This window comes from Homo sapiens, chromosome 8 (genome assembly GCF_000001405.40).
Source record: "Homo sapiens chromosome 8, GRCh38.p14 Primary Assembly".
Classification (NCBI taxonomy): domain Eukaryota; kingdom Metazoa; phylum Chordata; class Mammalia; order Primates; family Hominidae; genus Homo; species Homo sapiens.
In genome coordinates this window covers 41948236-41962956 of record NC_000008.11, presented here as the reverse complement: position 1 = coordinate 41962956, position 14721 = coordinate 41948236, and the positions used below count along the sequence as shown (strand labels likewise).

The following is a 14721-nucleotide window of genomic DNA, read 5'->3' as shown; positions in this document are numbered from 1 at the left end:
TTTAGCAAAAACTTGAAGGAGGTGAGGGGATGAAACATGTAGGTAACGGGGGAATAGCATTCCAGGCATAGGAACAGGAAATGCAAAGACCCGAGTCACAATTTGTGCTTGGCATGATCAAGGAAGTACAAGGAGGCCAGTGTGACTAGAGCCAAATACATAAGGCTCAAAATAGCAGATGACAAGGACAGAAGGGTAATGGAAGGCTGGCTTTTGTAGGGTCTTCTTGGCCATTGTAAGGACTTTGACTTTTACTCTGAATGAGATGGGAACCCTGGGAGGGTTTTGAGCAGAAGAATGACTTTGGTTTTAACAGGATTTCTCTGGCTCCTGTGTAGATTGAGGGGGCGGGGGGCAGTATACAAGCAGGGAGAACTTTGGGAAACTCTTGAAATTATTGAAGTAAGAGACATGGTGTTTGGATCATGGTGGTAGTGGTGGAATTGGAATTCTGAGTATGTTTTGAAGGTAGACCCATTGGGATATGTTGATGCATTGTGAAAGCAGGGAGTCCGAGACGATGCCAGAACACAGTTGGAAGACGGAGTTGCCATCTACTGAGATGGGGAAATAGGAAGAGCACATTTGGGGAAAAGATTTAGGAGTTTGATTTTGGATGTGTTAAACCTGATGTGAGAGGGGATATCAAGTAGATAGTGGGATATGTGTCTCTGGAGTTCAAAGAACAGGTCTGGGCTGAAATTTTCAATTCAGGACTCACCAGCAAGTAGGTTGTTTTTTTGAAAAATGAGACTAGATGAGATCACCAAGGGAGAAGAGAAGAACTTTGAGTCTAGGTTATTCCAACTTTTAGAGATTGGAGAAACTGAGAAGGAATGGCCAGTGAAGTAGGAAAAAAAACATGAAGGTGTAGTTCCTTAGAAGCTAAGTGAAGAATGTGTTGTAAGAAGGAAGGATCAGTTTTTAAATTCTGCAAATAGGCCAAGTAAGAAGAGAACTGAAAATTGACTGTCCAGCTTAGCAACAAGGAAGTAATCTTGAGAAACTGTTTCCATGATGGGGACAGGGGAGGGTGAAGAGATAATTGGAGTGGTTTCAAGAAAGAATGGAAGGAGAAATTGGTTATAGTAGTAATATGTGGCCATTGTTTTGAGGTTTTTTACAGTAATTAGGAGCAGAGAAAGGGAGAGTTGGATAGAGCTGTGAGGGCTAAAGAAGATACTTTTTTTTTTTTTTTTTTTTTTGAGATGGAGTCTCGCTCTGTCACCAGGCTGGAGTGCAGTGGCACCATCTCGGCTCATTGCAACCGCCACGTCCCGGGTTCAAGGGATTCTCCTGCCTCAGCCTCCCGAGTAGCTGGTACTACAGGTGTGCGCCACCACTCCCAACTAATTTTTCTATTTTTAGTAGGGACAGGGTTTCACCATGTTGGCCAGGATGGTCTCGATCTCTTGACCTTGTGACCCGCCCACCTTGGCCTCCCAAAGTGTTAGGATTACAGGGGTGAGCCACCATGCCCACACACCCCTCTCCCCCTTTTTAAAATATGGAATGAATAACAGCTGTTTGTATGCTGATGGAATGCTCTGGTAGAGGGAAAGCTGATGATGCAGAAGATAGGAGGGGAACTGCTGGGTGATGTTCTTTGGCTAGGGAGCAGGAAGATGTTATCTCATGCACAAACGGAAGCCGTGGGCTTAGGAGCTCAATCTTTAGCCATAGTATTGGTGAAAGGCAGGATGTGTGGCACAAAGGTGGAGGCAGACAGATGTGGGTGGGAAAAATTGCAGAAGTTTTCTTTTGATTTTGTCCAGTTTAGTGCAGTAGGAAGCAAAAGCATTGGCTGAAAGTGAAGGTGGAGTAAGCAGTGTTGGAGGCTTGAGCAGAGGAGAAAGGGTGCAGTTGTCTTTCAGAACGGGAGAGTGAATGGAGTAGGAAGCATCAGGACCTGCTTGAGGTTTGTGGGTAGGTGTATAATGTGAGACTGGGTAGCATGATTCTCTGTTTTTCTCCACCCATATTCACATTAAGGTAATAACTTCGATTATGTGAAGAGTTGAATTTAACAGGGGTTAGGATTTTGTTGTGAAATTAGAAGAGAAACTAGAGAGTTAAAGGTCTATGCAAAGGGTGGAATTACAGGGAAAAAGACCTTAGAATCTAAGCTGCGTAGAGAGAAAGGAGGGTGTGGGGAGAGTGGAAAGCTGATGGAAGCACTGGATTATGGGTCCTCCGGATGGAAAAGGTAAGATGGCCGAGGACAGAATTCTAGATTTTGTCAATATTTAATGGTAAAAGAATTAGCAAAGGAGATGGATAAAGAGAAGTCTGAGTGTAGAGCAAAAAGGCTTAGGAAAAGGGAAAGATAGGTCACAATATCCAGAATCCTGAAATTTAAGGAGTCCTGAAAATTTGAAAAAAAATAATTGTGGTAAAATATACATAATGTAAAAGTTATTTTAACCAGACTTTTTTTTTTTTTTTTTTTTGAGACGGAGTCTTACTCTGTCACCCAGGCTGGAGTACAGCGGCGTCATCTTGGCTCACTGCAAGCTCCGCCTCCCGGGTTCTCGCCATTCTTTGTATTTTTAGTAGAGACGGGGTTTCACCTTGCTAGCCAGGATGGTCTCGATCGTGATCCGCCGGCCTTGGCCTCCCAAAGTGCTGGGATTACAGGCATGAGCCACTGCGCCCGGCCTAACCAGACCATTTTTAAGTGTACAATTCAGTGGCATTAAAGACATTCACCTTGTTGTGCAATCATCACCATCATCTATTTCCAGAACTTTTTTATCTTGCAAAACTGGAACTCTGTACCCATTAAACAACTCCCAACCCCCCACCCCTACCCCCACCCCTGGTAAGCATCATTCTGTCTTCTGCCTTTATTAATTTGTCTACTCTAGGTACCATAAGTAGAATTATACAATATTTGTCCTTTTGTGTCTGGCTGTTTCACTTAGCATAATGTCCCCAAGGTTCATATGTATTTTAGCCTGTGTCAGAATTGCCTTCCTTGTATTTTTTTTTTTTTTCTTTAAAGACAGAGTCTTGCACTGTTGCCCAGGCTGGAGTGCAGTTGCGCGATCTTGGCTCACTGCAACCTCTGCCTCCCGGGTTCAAGTGTTTCTTCTGCCTCAGCCTCCCGAGTAGCTGGGACTACAGGCATGTGCCATACACCCAGCTAATTATTGTATTTTTAGTAGAGACGGGGTTTCACCACGTTGGCCAGGATGGTCTCAATCTCTTGACCTCATGATCTGCCCACCTTGGCCTCCCAGAGTGCTGGGATTACAGGCGTGAGCCACCAGCGCCCAACCATTGCCTTCCTTTTTAAGGCTGGAGAATATTCCATTGTACGTATGTACCACATTTGGTTTATCCATTCATCTGTCAGTGGATACTTGGGTTGTAAATAGTGCTGCTATGAACATGAGTATGCAAATAGATACCCATATACAAAGAACTGCTTTCAGTTCTGTGGGGTCTATAATCAGCAGTGGAATTGCTAGATTATGTGGTAATTCTGTTTACTTTTTTGAGGAACCATCATACTGTTTTCCACAGCAGCTGTGCCATTTTGTATTCCCGCCAGCAATGGGACAAGGGTTCTGATTTTTCCACATCTTCACCAACATCTGTTATTTTCTGGTGTTTTGCATTTAAAAATAATAACCATCCTAATGGGTGTGAAGTAGTATCTGATTGTGGTTTGATTTACATTTTCCTAATTATTAGTGATGTTGAGCATCTTTTCATGAGCTTATTGGCCATCTGTATATCTTCTTTGGAGAATGGAAAGAAACTTTTCCAACTTTTTTTTTTTTTTTTTTTTTCGAGACAGTCTGGCTCTGTCACCCAGGCTGGAGTGCAGTGGCGCGATCTGGGCTCATTGCAAGCTCTGCCTCCTGGGTTCACCCCATTCTCCTGCCTCAGCCTCTGAGTAGCTGGGACTACAGGTGCCCGCCACCAAGCTCCTCAGCTAATTTTTTGTATTTTTAGTAGAGATGGGGTTTCACCTTGTTAGCCAGGATGGTCTCGATCTCCTGACCTCGTGATCCGCCCACCTCAGCCTCCCAGAGTGCTGGGATTACAGGCGTGAGCCACCACGCCCGGCCTTTTCTAACTCATTTTGCAATAAAGTCCCACTTGACCTGAACTGAGTTACTGACAAAAACATGATCTGAGCTGATGTGAGACTATTTGTATTCCTTACTTATGCCAGTTAATGTGAATATTCATATGCTTTGCTAAAGAAATTTTAGTGTGTCTGATTATGGAGTGCTGCTCCAAATCCTACTAGGGCTATACACATGCATGTACTATACACATATATGTACTAATACTTTTCTAAAATCAGAAAAATTCAGAATTCCAAAACACATTCTACTCCAGTCCAAGGGTTTTGGGTTAAAAGTTTGTGGACTTGTAGCTTCATTTCTTTGGAAAACCAAGTTCCCGTTTTTAAAAACTTACCCATAAACTTTGGGAATTTAGGGAGGAATTAGTTGAGGGCTGTCGTTACTTCCGTCACATCTCAACCCATGTCATTCTTTTCTGTCTTTATGCTTCACTCGCTGTTCCTGCCCGGTGCTTTTGCCTCTTAACCTGAGGCTTATCTGAGGCTTATTTTTTCATCTGCAGAGTGGGTATATTGTTTTCTACTTTGAAGGATGGATTGTGGGGACCAAAGGAGGTAACGACATAAGGCTCAGGTCAGAGTCTAGCACAATAGGTGCTCCACGAACATGATTTTCTCTAGTCCTTAAATTCATGCTCTCTCTGTTGTGGAGCATGTGAATTCATTCTTTCATACCTCTTTCATCATGTAACTTTTAATCCCTAATGAATGGAATTACTTACTGTAGTGTTTCTGTGGGAAAATGTTCAAATGCCAGAAAGCCATCTCTTCTCCCCACATTCCCAGCCTCACACTGATAATAAAGGGGTACCTCCCTCTCTCCTCAAAACATTGCACCCCCTTGGGGAATGGAGAGGGAAGGGCAAGTGAGAGCGCTCCAGTGGACAGATGGGGGAAGGCAGCAGCTCTGTGTTTACAGAAATTGTTAAATTATTTACACAATTTTGGTGTCCCTACCAGATCCAGAGTTGGGGATACTGCAAGAATGGCCTTTTTTATGTTACAAACTGGAATTAGATGAGTCATTTAATTGAAGCTTAAGTTTTTGTAGAAGAGTAATACTCTTTTCATATAAACTGGTGGTAATAAAAGCTTTATTATCTAGCAGTAGGCATAAAGTTTTCTTTTGGTTTAGCCCAATTATTAGTGTATTTAATCCACCCCCTTGCTACCCCCTGTTAGTTATCTTAGATTAAAAGGTCAATTCTAGCCTGGAACATACGTCTTCTTTTAAATAATTTGGCATATTTAAATTAGGAGGACATGAAGTGGCAGAATTTGAGTTAAACATTTAAATATATTTTGTGCCCTTGATTATATTAGACACCTGCTGCTTTGGAAAGTCACATGTTTAGCGAAAACGTACTTTGGTTGAAATGTTAAAATAAAAAGACCTAGCAAAGGTAACCTTGTAGTTCAGATATGACAGTTTGATTTTGGCTAGGACTGGAATGAGTGGTTTCTGTGTAGCCATTTCTTCCTCCCTGTGTAGAGAGCCTTGCTGATTTCTAAATCTTCGTAAAAGGAAACACCCTTGCTGTGGAGGCTTGCTCAGGGGAGCTGGGAGTGGAGGCGGGCTCACACATGAGCGCATGTGCAGGAACGTTTCACGGTGCAAAGGTTAAAGGCGGGTGTGGGCAGAGGGGAACCTACCACAGGTCCCATTCTGGACAGACGTGCGCAGTTGTGGTGATGTGCAAACAGCTGTACTGGAACTGGATATCCACTTTCACATCGGGCATCCGCCTAGAAGAGCAGCGGGCAGCTGATGGGAAGACCCTCAAACAACAGACAGTGCCGCAGCAGGTGCATGACTTCAGCTTTTGGGCTTTCTATCTGATCCTTGCCTCAGGAAGTTAGATCTGGTTTCTGGTATTTAGTTATTTTGAAAGTTTCCTATACTGTTGTTATTACTTTGAGTTGTGAAGATAGATGAAAAGATAGTACTTTATGAGTTAGAGTAGTTGATTCTAGAATGTAGTTTAAAAACAGCCTTTAAAAAATCTTTTTACAAAGTTCTGTTTGGGTTTTGAGAAATGAAAGAAATCTTATTTTAACCCTGTATTATGTATTCTTCATTGTTTTTGGTTTTGTATTTGGAGGAGCCCCAGTACTTGGTGGTGTTATAACACAATTCATCCCACAAACAGATCTTTGTCTTTTGTTTTGAGGTGTCTAAGGAAGAGCTTGAGGTTTCATTTGGCTACATTCCAGTATGAAACCTGAGATAAGTCCCTTGGCCTTTTATAAAAGAGAATGGTTAGAAAGACCAGAAGGTCTCTAATGAGTTATGGTGAAGAGGCTTCTTTAAACGGATTTATATAAAACCAATGAATAAAAATTTCTTTTAGTTTTGTTATAAAATATGTATGTGTGTCTGCATGCTCCAACAAGGGATTTTTACTAGTCTCTTAGTGGTCTTTAAAGCATAAAATTGAAGGATAATTTCAGTTATCCTTTTGGGGAAGAGTTATTAATGCTTGTTTTTGGTTAGGCTAAACTCTTTTGTCTTTTTCTTGTCAGTTAGTATTTGTAGAGCATCCATGATATATCTGCACTCACACACATGGACATGAGTGTGTATATGCATCTGTTGCTAGACTGGGTGCAGAGCAAGTCATGTTGCCCTTGAGTTAACATGTTAAGACCCTTAACAGCCTTTATTTTCTTGAGCTACGTACTTATGTTTGAATTTCTGATCTGGAAAGTCAGGGAAGTCATAAAGGCTTTAAAAATTATTCTCTGTTTAGATAATGTAGTTCAGACTATTGCAGGGATGAGGGGTATAGAGATTGTTTTCATTGTAAAGAGAAGGCAGAAAAAAGAGAAGGTCTGTATATAACAGAGTGTCTTTCTTTGGTTAAATCTATGCAGAGCTACTAATGAAGGGAATTTTAGGCATAGTATGAAATGAAGACTCTCTTGATACTTGTTTTGTCAGATTCTTTTTGTATTTCTCTTAAATATCTACTTTCCCAAACTAAAAAATCATCCTTTGTGTGCTTACATATTCAGTAGGGCATCTCCATTGTTGTCAGCGGAGGCAGTGTGGTAGGACTTCAGCAAATATGCAGTGTCCCCCTCCCTCACTTGTAAATTATTCTTTATCTTATATCACCAAGTATCAGCAGTTTCTCTTTAATATTAAGTCATTAAGAGTGAGTTTAATTGAGGAAAATATTTTTACTGTTATTAAATGTAGAAATGCAGCAACACCCAATGCATTTGGTTCTAAGAGATTTATTAGCATTTTTATTTTTCATCTGGGTGCTCTGTTTAAGGAATAATATAACTTATTTCAAAATATGTTAGCTTGTTCTGGCTTTTGTTTTTGTTTTACTCCTTTGGAGTCCTGAGAAGACAACATTTAGATTCAGAACTTTCTTTGTTATCTCAGTGTGTCTAATTTAGCTAACTTTTGAATGTATTTCTTGACTGCACAGAAAGTTGGAGTGACTGGTCCCCCTGATCCACAAGTCCGCTGTCCCTCTGTCATTGAGTTTGGGAAGTATGAAATTCACACCTGGTACTCCTCCCCATATCCTCAAGAATACTCAAGGTATGTTTTGAGAGACCCTTGACCTTCTGTTTTGAGATCCATAGAAGTCTGGAACTGGAAGGGATCTTGAAGATGTTTGAGTCCACCTTATCCTTTACATTTGAGGAAACTGGGGGCTTTTAAATGTCCATAATAGCAGCGGCTTTGGCAGCCACTTCATCCCAGTTTGCTTTAGATGTTCTCTTCTGTAACCTCTCAGACGCTGATGTTTAAAATGAGAAACCCGAATGCATGGTCACAATAAAAGGGGAATGCTTTTTTATTTTTTTTTTAAGAGAAATTTGTCTTCACTCCTATCACTAAGAATTTTGAAAAAGAGAAGAACTCATATATAAATTAATATAAAGTTTCAGTTGATTAGTCTTTGATGTAAATAAATATTTATAATTTGACAAACTTAATAAATGGTTTGTTTTCCCAGAAATAATTGGACAATTGGTGTAAAAATTATATATAAATAGTTTGGGCTTCCAGATATATTAATAAACATTGATCACTCACCAGCTTGGTGGAGCTAAAGTGGTTTCATGACTCAGCTCTGAAATTGGTAAGTTGTGTAACCTTAAAAGCTGCCCAACTGCTCTGTGCCTCAGTTTCCTCATCTGTAAAGCAGAGATAGTAATAGTACTTACTTCGTGGGGATATTGAGGACATTAAATGAGCTACAACATGTAAATCACTTAGAAAATGGTAAGTGCTCAATAATGTCAGTTATTATATTTTTTCTTTATGGTTAAAATTAAAAGATGAAATGAGATCAAAAAATTAAATACTAGTTAATTGTAGTGACATTAATGCTCTCTAATCTATAAACTACTTATGCCTCAGTTTCCCATTTAGTAGGGTGTTACAAGAAATAATACATCATGGTGCTTTGTGGGTTAAATACATGTTCAGAATATTCTCATCATGTAAGTTTTCACCCATGTAGTAACATTGCCTGGCCAAAATATTAGCAAAATTTATTTAGTACCTTACAATATGTTGAGTGCCTTAACATGGGTTGTTGCCAAGAAACTAGGAATAGGCCAGTATAGTTGTTAAAAGGGCCATCCAGTAAAACTTATTTATCTTTTTACTTTTTCTTTCCATATAATAACTTGCTTCTCTAGTCTACAGTCGAAGTAGAAAAATAGGGGTAAGAATGCCATTTCAGACACTGACCTCAAAGTGACAGCTAACAAAAACAGAAGAAAAAGCAAAACCCCAGGAAACTAACACACAAGCTCATGAAACACAGCAATTGAGGGCCATTTACTGTGGGATCAGTTAGCCCCAAACACTGTGGTGTATCTTTAAGGAAGCACACTGTTTCATGAGCTGACAACAATTAATGTGACTTTAAGATAAGGTTACATTGTATTTGCATTTCCATATTATACATATATATTATACATGTATGTATTGTATATGTATATATGTTAAAGGAAGGCAGGAACTTCCTCAACTACCTACAGAACTCAGCGTTCAAGTTAACTCATTCCTCAGGAATTCTGAATAGCCAAGATCTTTTATGACCGAGAAGAAATACGCCAAGGACACGCCTGTAATCCCAGCACTTTGGGAGGCCGAGATAGGCAGATCGCCTGAGGTCAGGAGTTCAAGACCAGCCTGGCCAACATGGCGAAACCCTGTCTCTACTAAAAATATAAAAATTAGCCAGGCGTGGTGGTGGGTGCCTGTAATCCCAGCTACTCAGGAGGCTGAGGTAGGAGAATCGCTTGAACCTGGGAGGCGGAGGTTGCAGTGAACTGAGATCGCGCCATTGCACTCTCGCCTGGGCAACAGGAGCGAAACTCCATCTCAAAAGAAAAGAAAATAAATATGCCAAGGAATTAATTTTTTCATCAGGTTTAAAATAAGTTGTTATGATCATTTTTTAAGTGAGCTCTTTGCAAGCTGCCCAAATCACAAGAGCACTCAACTTAGAAAAGAAAGCTTTTCCACATGTCTGTCAACTGTTCCGGAGACTATAGTACAGATAGATGGAAACCACAGGCCCCTTGTCTACTCAAGGTGGGGAGAGGAAATAGATTCAGGAATGGAAATAGAGGGCTAGCATTTACTTTTGTTCAAGAGAATGATGAGAATGGAATCATAAACTGTTTTCTTTTAAGATAGATATTTAAAGGATTTATTGAAAATGTAGCTTTTGTTCTGATGAGATTTTCATTAGAAACAGGTGTGAGGAGACTAGTTATCAGTGAAAGAATAAATAATGCCATCAAAAAATAACCAAAAAAAGTATAATAGGAACCAGTAGAAAGCAGAAACAGGATAGGAACTTGTAAAATTCATCAACTTCCTTAAGCAGTTTTAGACATTTTCTGTATATTTTTTCATCCATTGGATAGGGTTCTTTGAGTTTTCAATTAGAAAATATCCTGTAATTTTTAATAGGTTCTTGAGTAATTATGACTTTTTTTCTATCTTTATATTCGTAGTTCTCTTGGTTACATTTTTTAAAAAAATTATATTTACTTAAATGAGCTTGAAACTTGAGGTGACTAAAATGTTTGGAGATCTTACATTTTCCAAATAATAAACCTCTATTCTTAATTTTGTTAATGCCTATTTATTATTTCGTGCTAAACTGCTTATAAATTATTTTCTTATTAAAGGTTTCAAACACTGTAACGTACAAAAACAGGGCAATAGGAGCAAACAAAAATGCAAAGATCACAAGAAAAACGTCTTTTGGGAAGTGGGATTATACTTTACGGAATGTTCTTTCATATCCAGATATTTGTGTATGCATTGCCTATTAAGTAATCTTGTATCCCTGTCTTTAAAAATCAAAAACAATGAAGCAATAATACTGTTTCATTTGGTTTATCAGTAGGTTCATTGCGAAACCTACTCTGCCATTAAGAGCATGACATAGATGGGCTTAAGGCAAAAGAAATTATGATCATTGGATGCCCTCTGCTCCTGTGCTGCTTTGAGCTTAGCTTTGAGATCCTAAAGAGGTAGATTCCTAGGTGATAGAGTAGCCTAGGAAGATTCCTCTGCCTTTTGATTCTCCTCTGGACTTTATTTGATGCTTAGATTATGAGATTGTCACTAGAACCAGTTTGATTATTCTCGTCATCCCAGTTACTGAAGAAGAAACCAAATAGAATCCCTAATGCCTTTGGCTATTAAATTATTGAGTAAAATTGATGGAAGAAGAATACAAATAATAATCGTTAAGTAATAGCAGCTGTAATTACCATCCATTGAGCTTGGTACTGGACTAAGCATCTCTGGTGTAATTCTGTGAGATGAATATTACTGTATTCATTTTGCAGACCTGGTCCCAGACAGTACAGTGTATAAGTGGCAGAACTTGAAGCTCACTTCTCTCTTACTGCATAGCCATAACCATTAATCACTGGGCCTACGCTGCTCCATGTAGCATGTGTATCTAGGTTGATCTCACTTGACTTGTACCATAATCTTAGATTTAAGTAATATTTGGTATAATTTTTATTGTTACATTAAAAATTTGCTACAAGTTGACTGCACAAACTGCTACTATGTTGGGCCATGTTCAGAAGCCAGAAGGTACTGTAGAAATTCCTGAGAATAATAATTGCATCATTCTAGAAGTTAGAGAAGCATGCCCAGCTGCAGCACAGCCCTGATTCCATGGGCTGGGTTATCAGCATTGTGGCAGACTTTAGAATCAACTTCCAGTGTGGAGGTGACACTTCATGTGCAGTTGATCAAAGCCACCGTACAGCTACCTGTTTGATAGCTGAGACCTAGGTCCTGCCAGGAAGATCACTAAAAGCAGCCCCCAACAAGATTCTCTAGGGCTAGGAGTATTCATAATCTTTATAACTACATTTCATTTCCTGTAGTCTCATGTTCTTTCTATATGATAGATCTTTTTTTTCTGTGAGAGAACAGCAGTTGTTTATAATATTTCTAGAAATATTTTGGTTTTCCAGTAGTTTTTTTTCTAGATGATTCCCTTTAGATTAGCAGTATCATCCCAGTGGGCTTGGTTCTAATAAAGTAAGGAGCTTTTAAAATGTTTTCAGTGAGAACTAGATTGGAATAAAGTAGATCATAATGCTTGTTTTCAGTTTACTATTTTTCACATAATAAGGTTCACTAAAGTTTTGTTTTTTTTTTTTTAATCATCAATAAAATGCCATACATCTTGCCATTCTAAGGAAGTGGCATGAACTCTTCATTTACTGGAGAAGACTTGATAGTAATTTTCTCAGAGATTTTATTTCTCCTGATGTTTTCTTGAGCAATTTGGTTACTGTAAGAGCTTTAAACATTTTTGGCCTTCTCTCACAGATCTTAGGAAATAAATTGTAGTTTATTTTCCTCCCTTCCTCCCTCCCTTCCTCTCTCCCCTCTCCCTTCTGTTTCCAGAAAAGTAATTAGCATTTATTGAATATTTTCGATTTTTTAATTGACAGATAAAATTGTATATATTTATCATGTACAACATGATGTTTTGAAATATACACATTATGAAATATGACTAAATCTAGCTAACATAAATGGTACTTTATTTTCATGTCTCTGTGCTGAGACCTAACAGTTGGATTGGATGCCCTTAAAGTTGGCATTTATCTTTACCATAATTTGGAAAGCTTCATGGTCTGTCACTGTTTTTTACTCTATCATTTTTACAAAAATACTTTAAAAAGCACAAAATTTTTTAGGTTTCTCTGATTCGTATTATAGGAAGTATTTAGTTGTAATATTTAGCTCTCAAAATGAAACTGTACTCAGATAGTGTTACTTCTGTATCTTCATGCTGTGACAAGTTAAGATTGCTCACTGAGAATTTAGCACATGTAAGAGGTAAGTAAAACAGTTAGGGAGGGAGGTGCCACCCGTTGTATCTACATAAGGAGACTCATTCTTCCTCTTCCTTTGAAGAAGAAATTACTCAGAATCCAGGTATTCAGGAAGGTGGTCTGGCAGTTGTAGGTCACCTGTAAGGCTTAGTTAATACATTTAGTGCTCATATTAGATGATGAAGTTTATAACAAGCCATTTCATTCTGTGATTTGTAGCTGTGGTGGTGAAGAAGGAAAAACCTCTTTATCTAGTGGTTCCTCTTGAATAGTGGGGCTTGAGGCAGAATGCAGTGGAAACAAAGTAGCCAACAACACACTGCTTTCCATGCTCTTAGCTCCTGCTTCTTGACTCTAATTTATAGTGCCAGTCATTATTTGTTTCACTTAGTGCTTGATTTTGGAAGGGTTGTACTAATAATATAATTACAAGTTGTATTGGTGTGGCTAACATGAGAGATTTTGAAAAACAATATTGTATACCATAGATGTTTAGTAATAGTATACTACAAAAGTTCCTTGGAAACTTTCAGTGTGCTGAATTGAATGACAGTTTAAAAAATAAGATGTGAGGTTATATGGGAAGAATTAATGCACATTGTGAGTCCCCCAGGAAAGTTGGGAAAAAGCGTGTGCCCTCTTGCCCTTATTTGAGCACGAAATCCTTAGTACCTGCAGGATTTGTGTTCCATAAATATACCTTGGGAAAAGCTTTAGTAGAATTTTAGATGTTCTCAGATAAATTATATTTCAAAAGCTGCTTTCAAAATGGGAACTTGAAAAAATGGTTATGGTCTTCACACAAATCAAACATTTTTGTGTGTGTTAATCTACTTAGCAAATATTATTTTCTTTAATTCTAGGATAGTATTTTAAGCATAACTATCCAAATTGATAGCAACTAAATTAATTTTTTCATCTCAGTACTTAAATATGAGACAAGATACAGTAATTTATTTGAATTATATATTTTGTCATTTTACCGTCCAGTATTTTTGCATATGCAGTTTTTTTTTTAACCTGTTACCTGGGTAGTAATGAGAGGCAAAAAGATGATAATTGTGGAAGTTTGAAGTACTCTAAAATATAAAGCCCTGTCTTTTTTGTTTAATTATCGTTTACAGGCTGCCCAAATTGTATCTTTGTGAATTTTGTCTAAAATATATGAAAAGTAGAACTATTCTGCAGCAGCACATGAAGAAATGTGGTTGGTTCCATCCTCCTGCCAATGAGATTTACAGAAAGAATAATATTTCTGTCTTTGAGGTAAGGTAGATACTTAGTAATTGTCCTCTCATCCATTTCATAAGTAGGGCCACCTATATTGCATCTATTGTGCAACTTTCTATTGTCTATTTTATGTATCACTAAAATGGAAAAAGTACTAATTATAATTTTTAAAACTTCATTTGATTATAAAATGCCAGTTGATTTTGCATATATTAAGATGTGATAAAAGTACATCTTAGAATCTATGAAATATGGCATTTAAATGAAAGGATTTCTATCACTTATTTAAAAGGAATATCTCACAGAGATCTGTTTAATAGTAAATCTTGATGATGATGATGATGATGATGATGATGTGTGACCTCTGCTCTGTGATTCTCTATTGCTGTTAGTAGCGCTCTTGATCCTCAGTTCTGTGGTTTTCGTGCCAAGTATTAATTGAGTACTTGCTTATGTGCCGTTTACTTACTGTAACAGTAAAATTTCAGATTGTCAGGATCCCCTCAGTCTCTCACTTTTCTTGGTCCTCCCTAAGACTCTTTTAAGTGATCAGTAGAGGAGTTCTTTACCTTGGGAGAAGCTGGGGTAGGTGTGGTATATACTGTTTGAAGAGAATATTAAACTACCTGGGTTGTTGAGGAGTTCTGTTAGTATCGCAGACAGTGTCTTGGGAGCTAATGTGGGCATCCATTGGCGTTTTGATAGAAAGCTCTGGCAACTCCATGAACACAGACAAGGCTGCCAGGAGCAAAAGAGCAGCAGAGTGCTCCTGGGCCTGGCCAACCTGGAGCCTCATTTACCACATGATTGCTTGAGGAACCCGCTTGGTGCTTCTGCGTGGCAATAGTTAGTACCCCCTTAAGTAGTTTTATCTGGGTTCAAGCCCGATCATGGTAGTCAGATTGCATTGCTTCAGGCAGCTGGCATAGATTAGACTACATAGTTACATCTTCTTTTACCTAATAAATGTATTTTAGAAGGGTTGTATTTAGATCTTTTGTTGTGTTAAGTACTTTGAAAAC

General features: G+C 38.5%; 1 protein-coding gene across 2 annotated transcripts in view, besides 1 other annotated feature; it reads left to right on the top strand.

The window, feature by feature from the left end:
* The window catches only part of KAT6A (lysine acetyltransferase 6A), a 122509-nt gene that overhangs the window by 89031 nt on the left and 18757 nt on the right, over positions 1-14721 (top strand). For both annotated transcript variants that reach the window (NM_006766.5, NM_001305878.2), the window contains exons 9-10: positions 7546-7661; positions 13594-13735. In NM_006766.5, coding sequence (NP_006757.2) covers positions 7546-7661; positions 13594-13735 — 258 coding nt within the window. The remainder of the gene's footprint in view (positions 1-7545; positions 7662-13593; positions 13736-14721) is intronic.
* Positions 5920-5969: an enhancer, noted in NCBI's record as "active region_27296". NCBI's record gives its function as "activates an Ori minimal core promoter by ATAC-STARR-seq in GM12878 lymphoblastoid cells {active_cell/tissue: GM12878}" and the evidence as "EXISTENCE:reporter gene assay evidence [ECO:0000049][PMID:35858748]".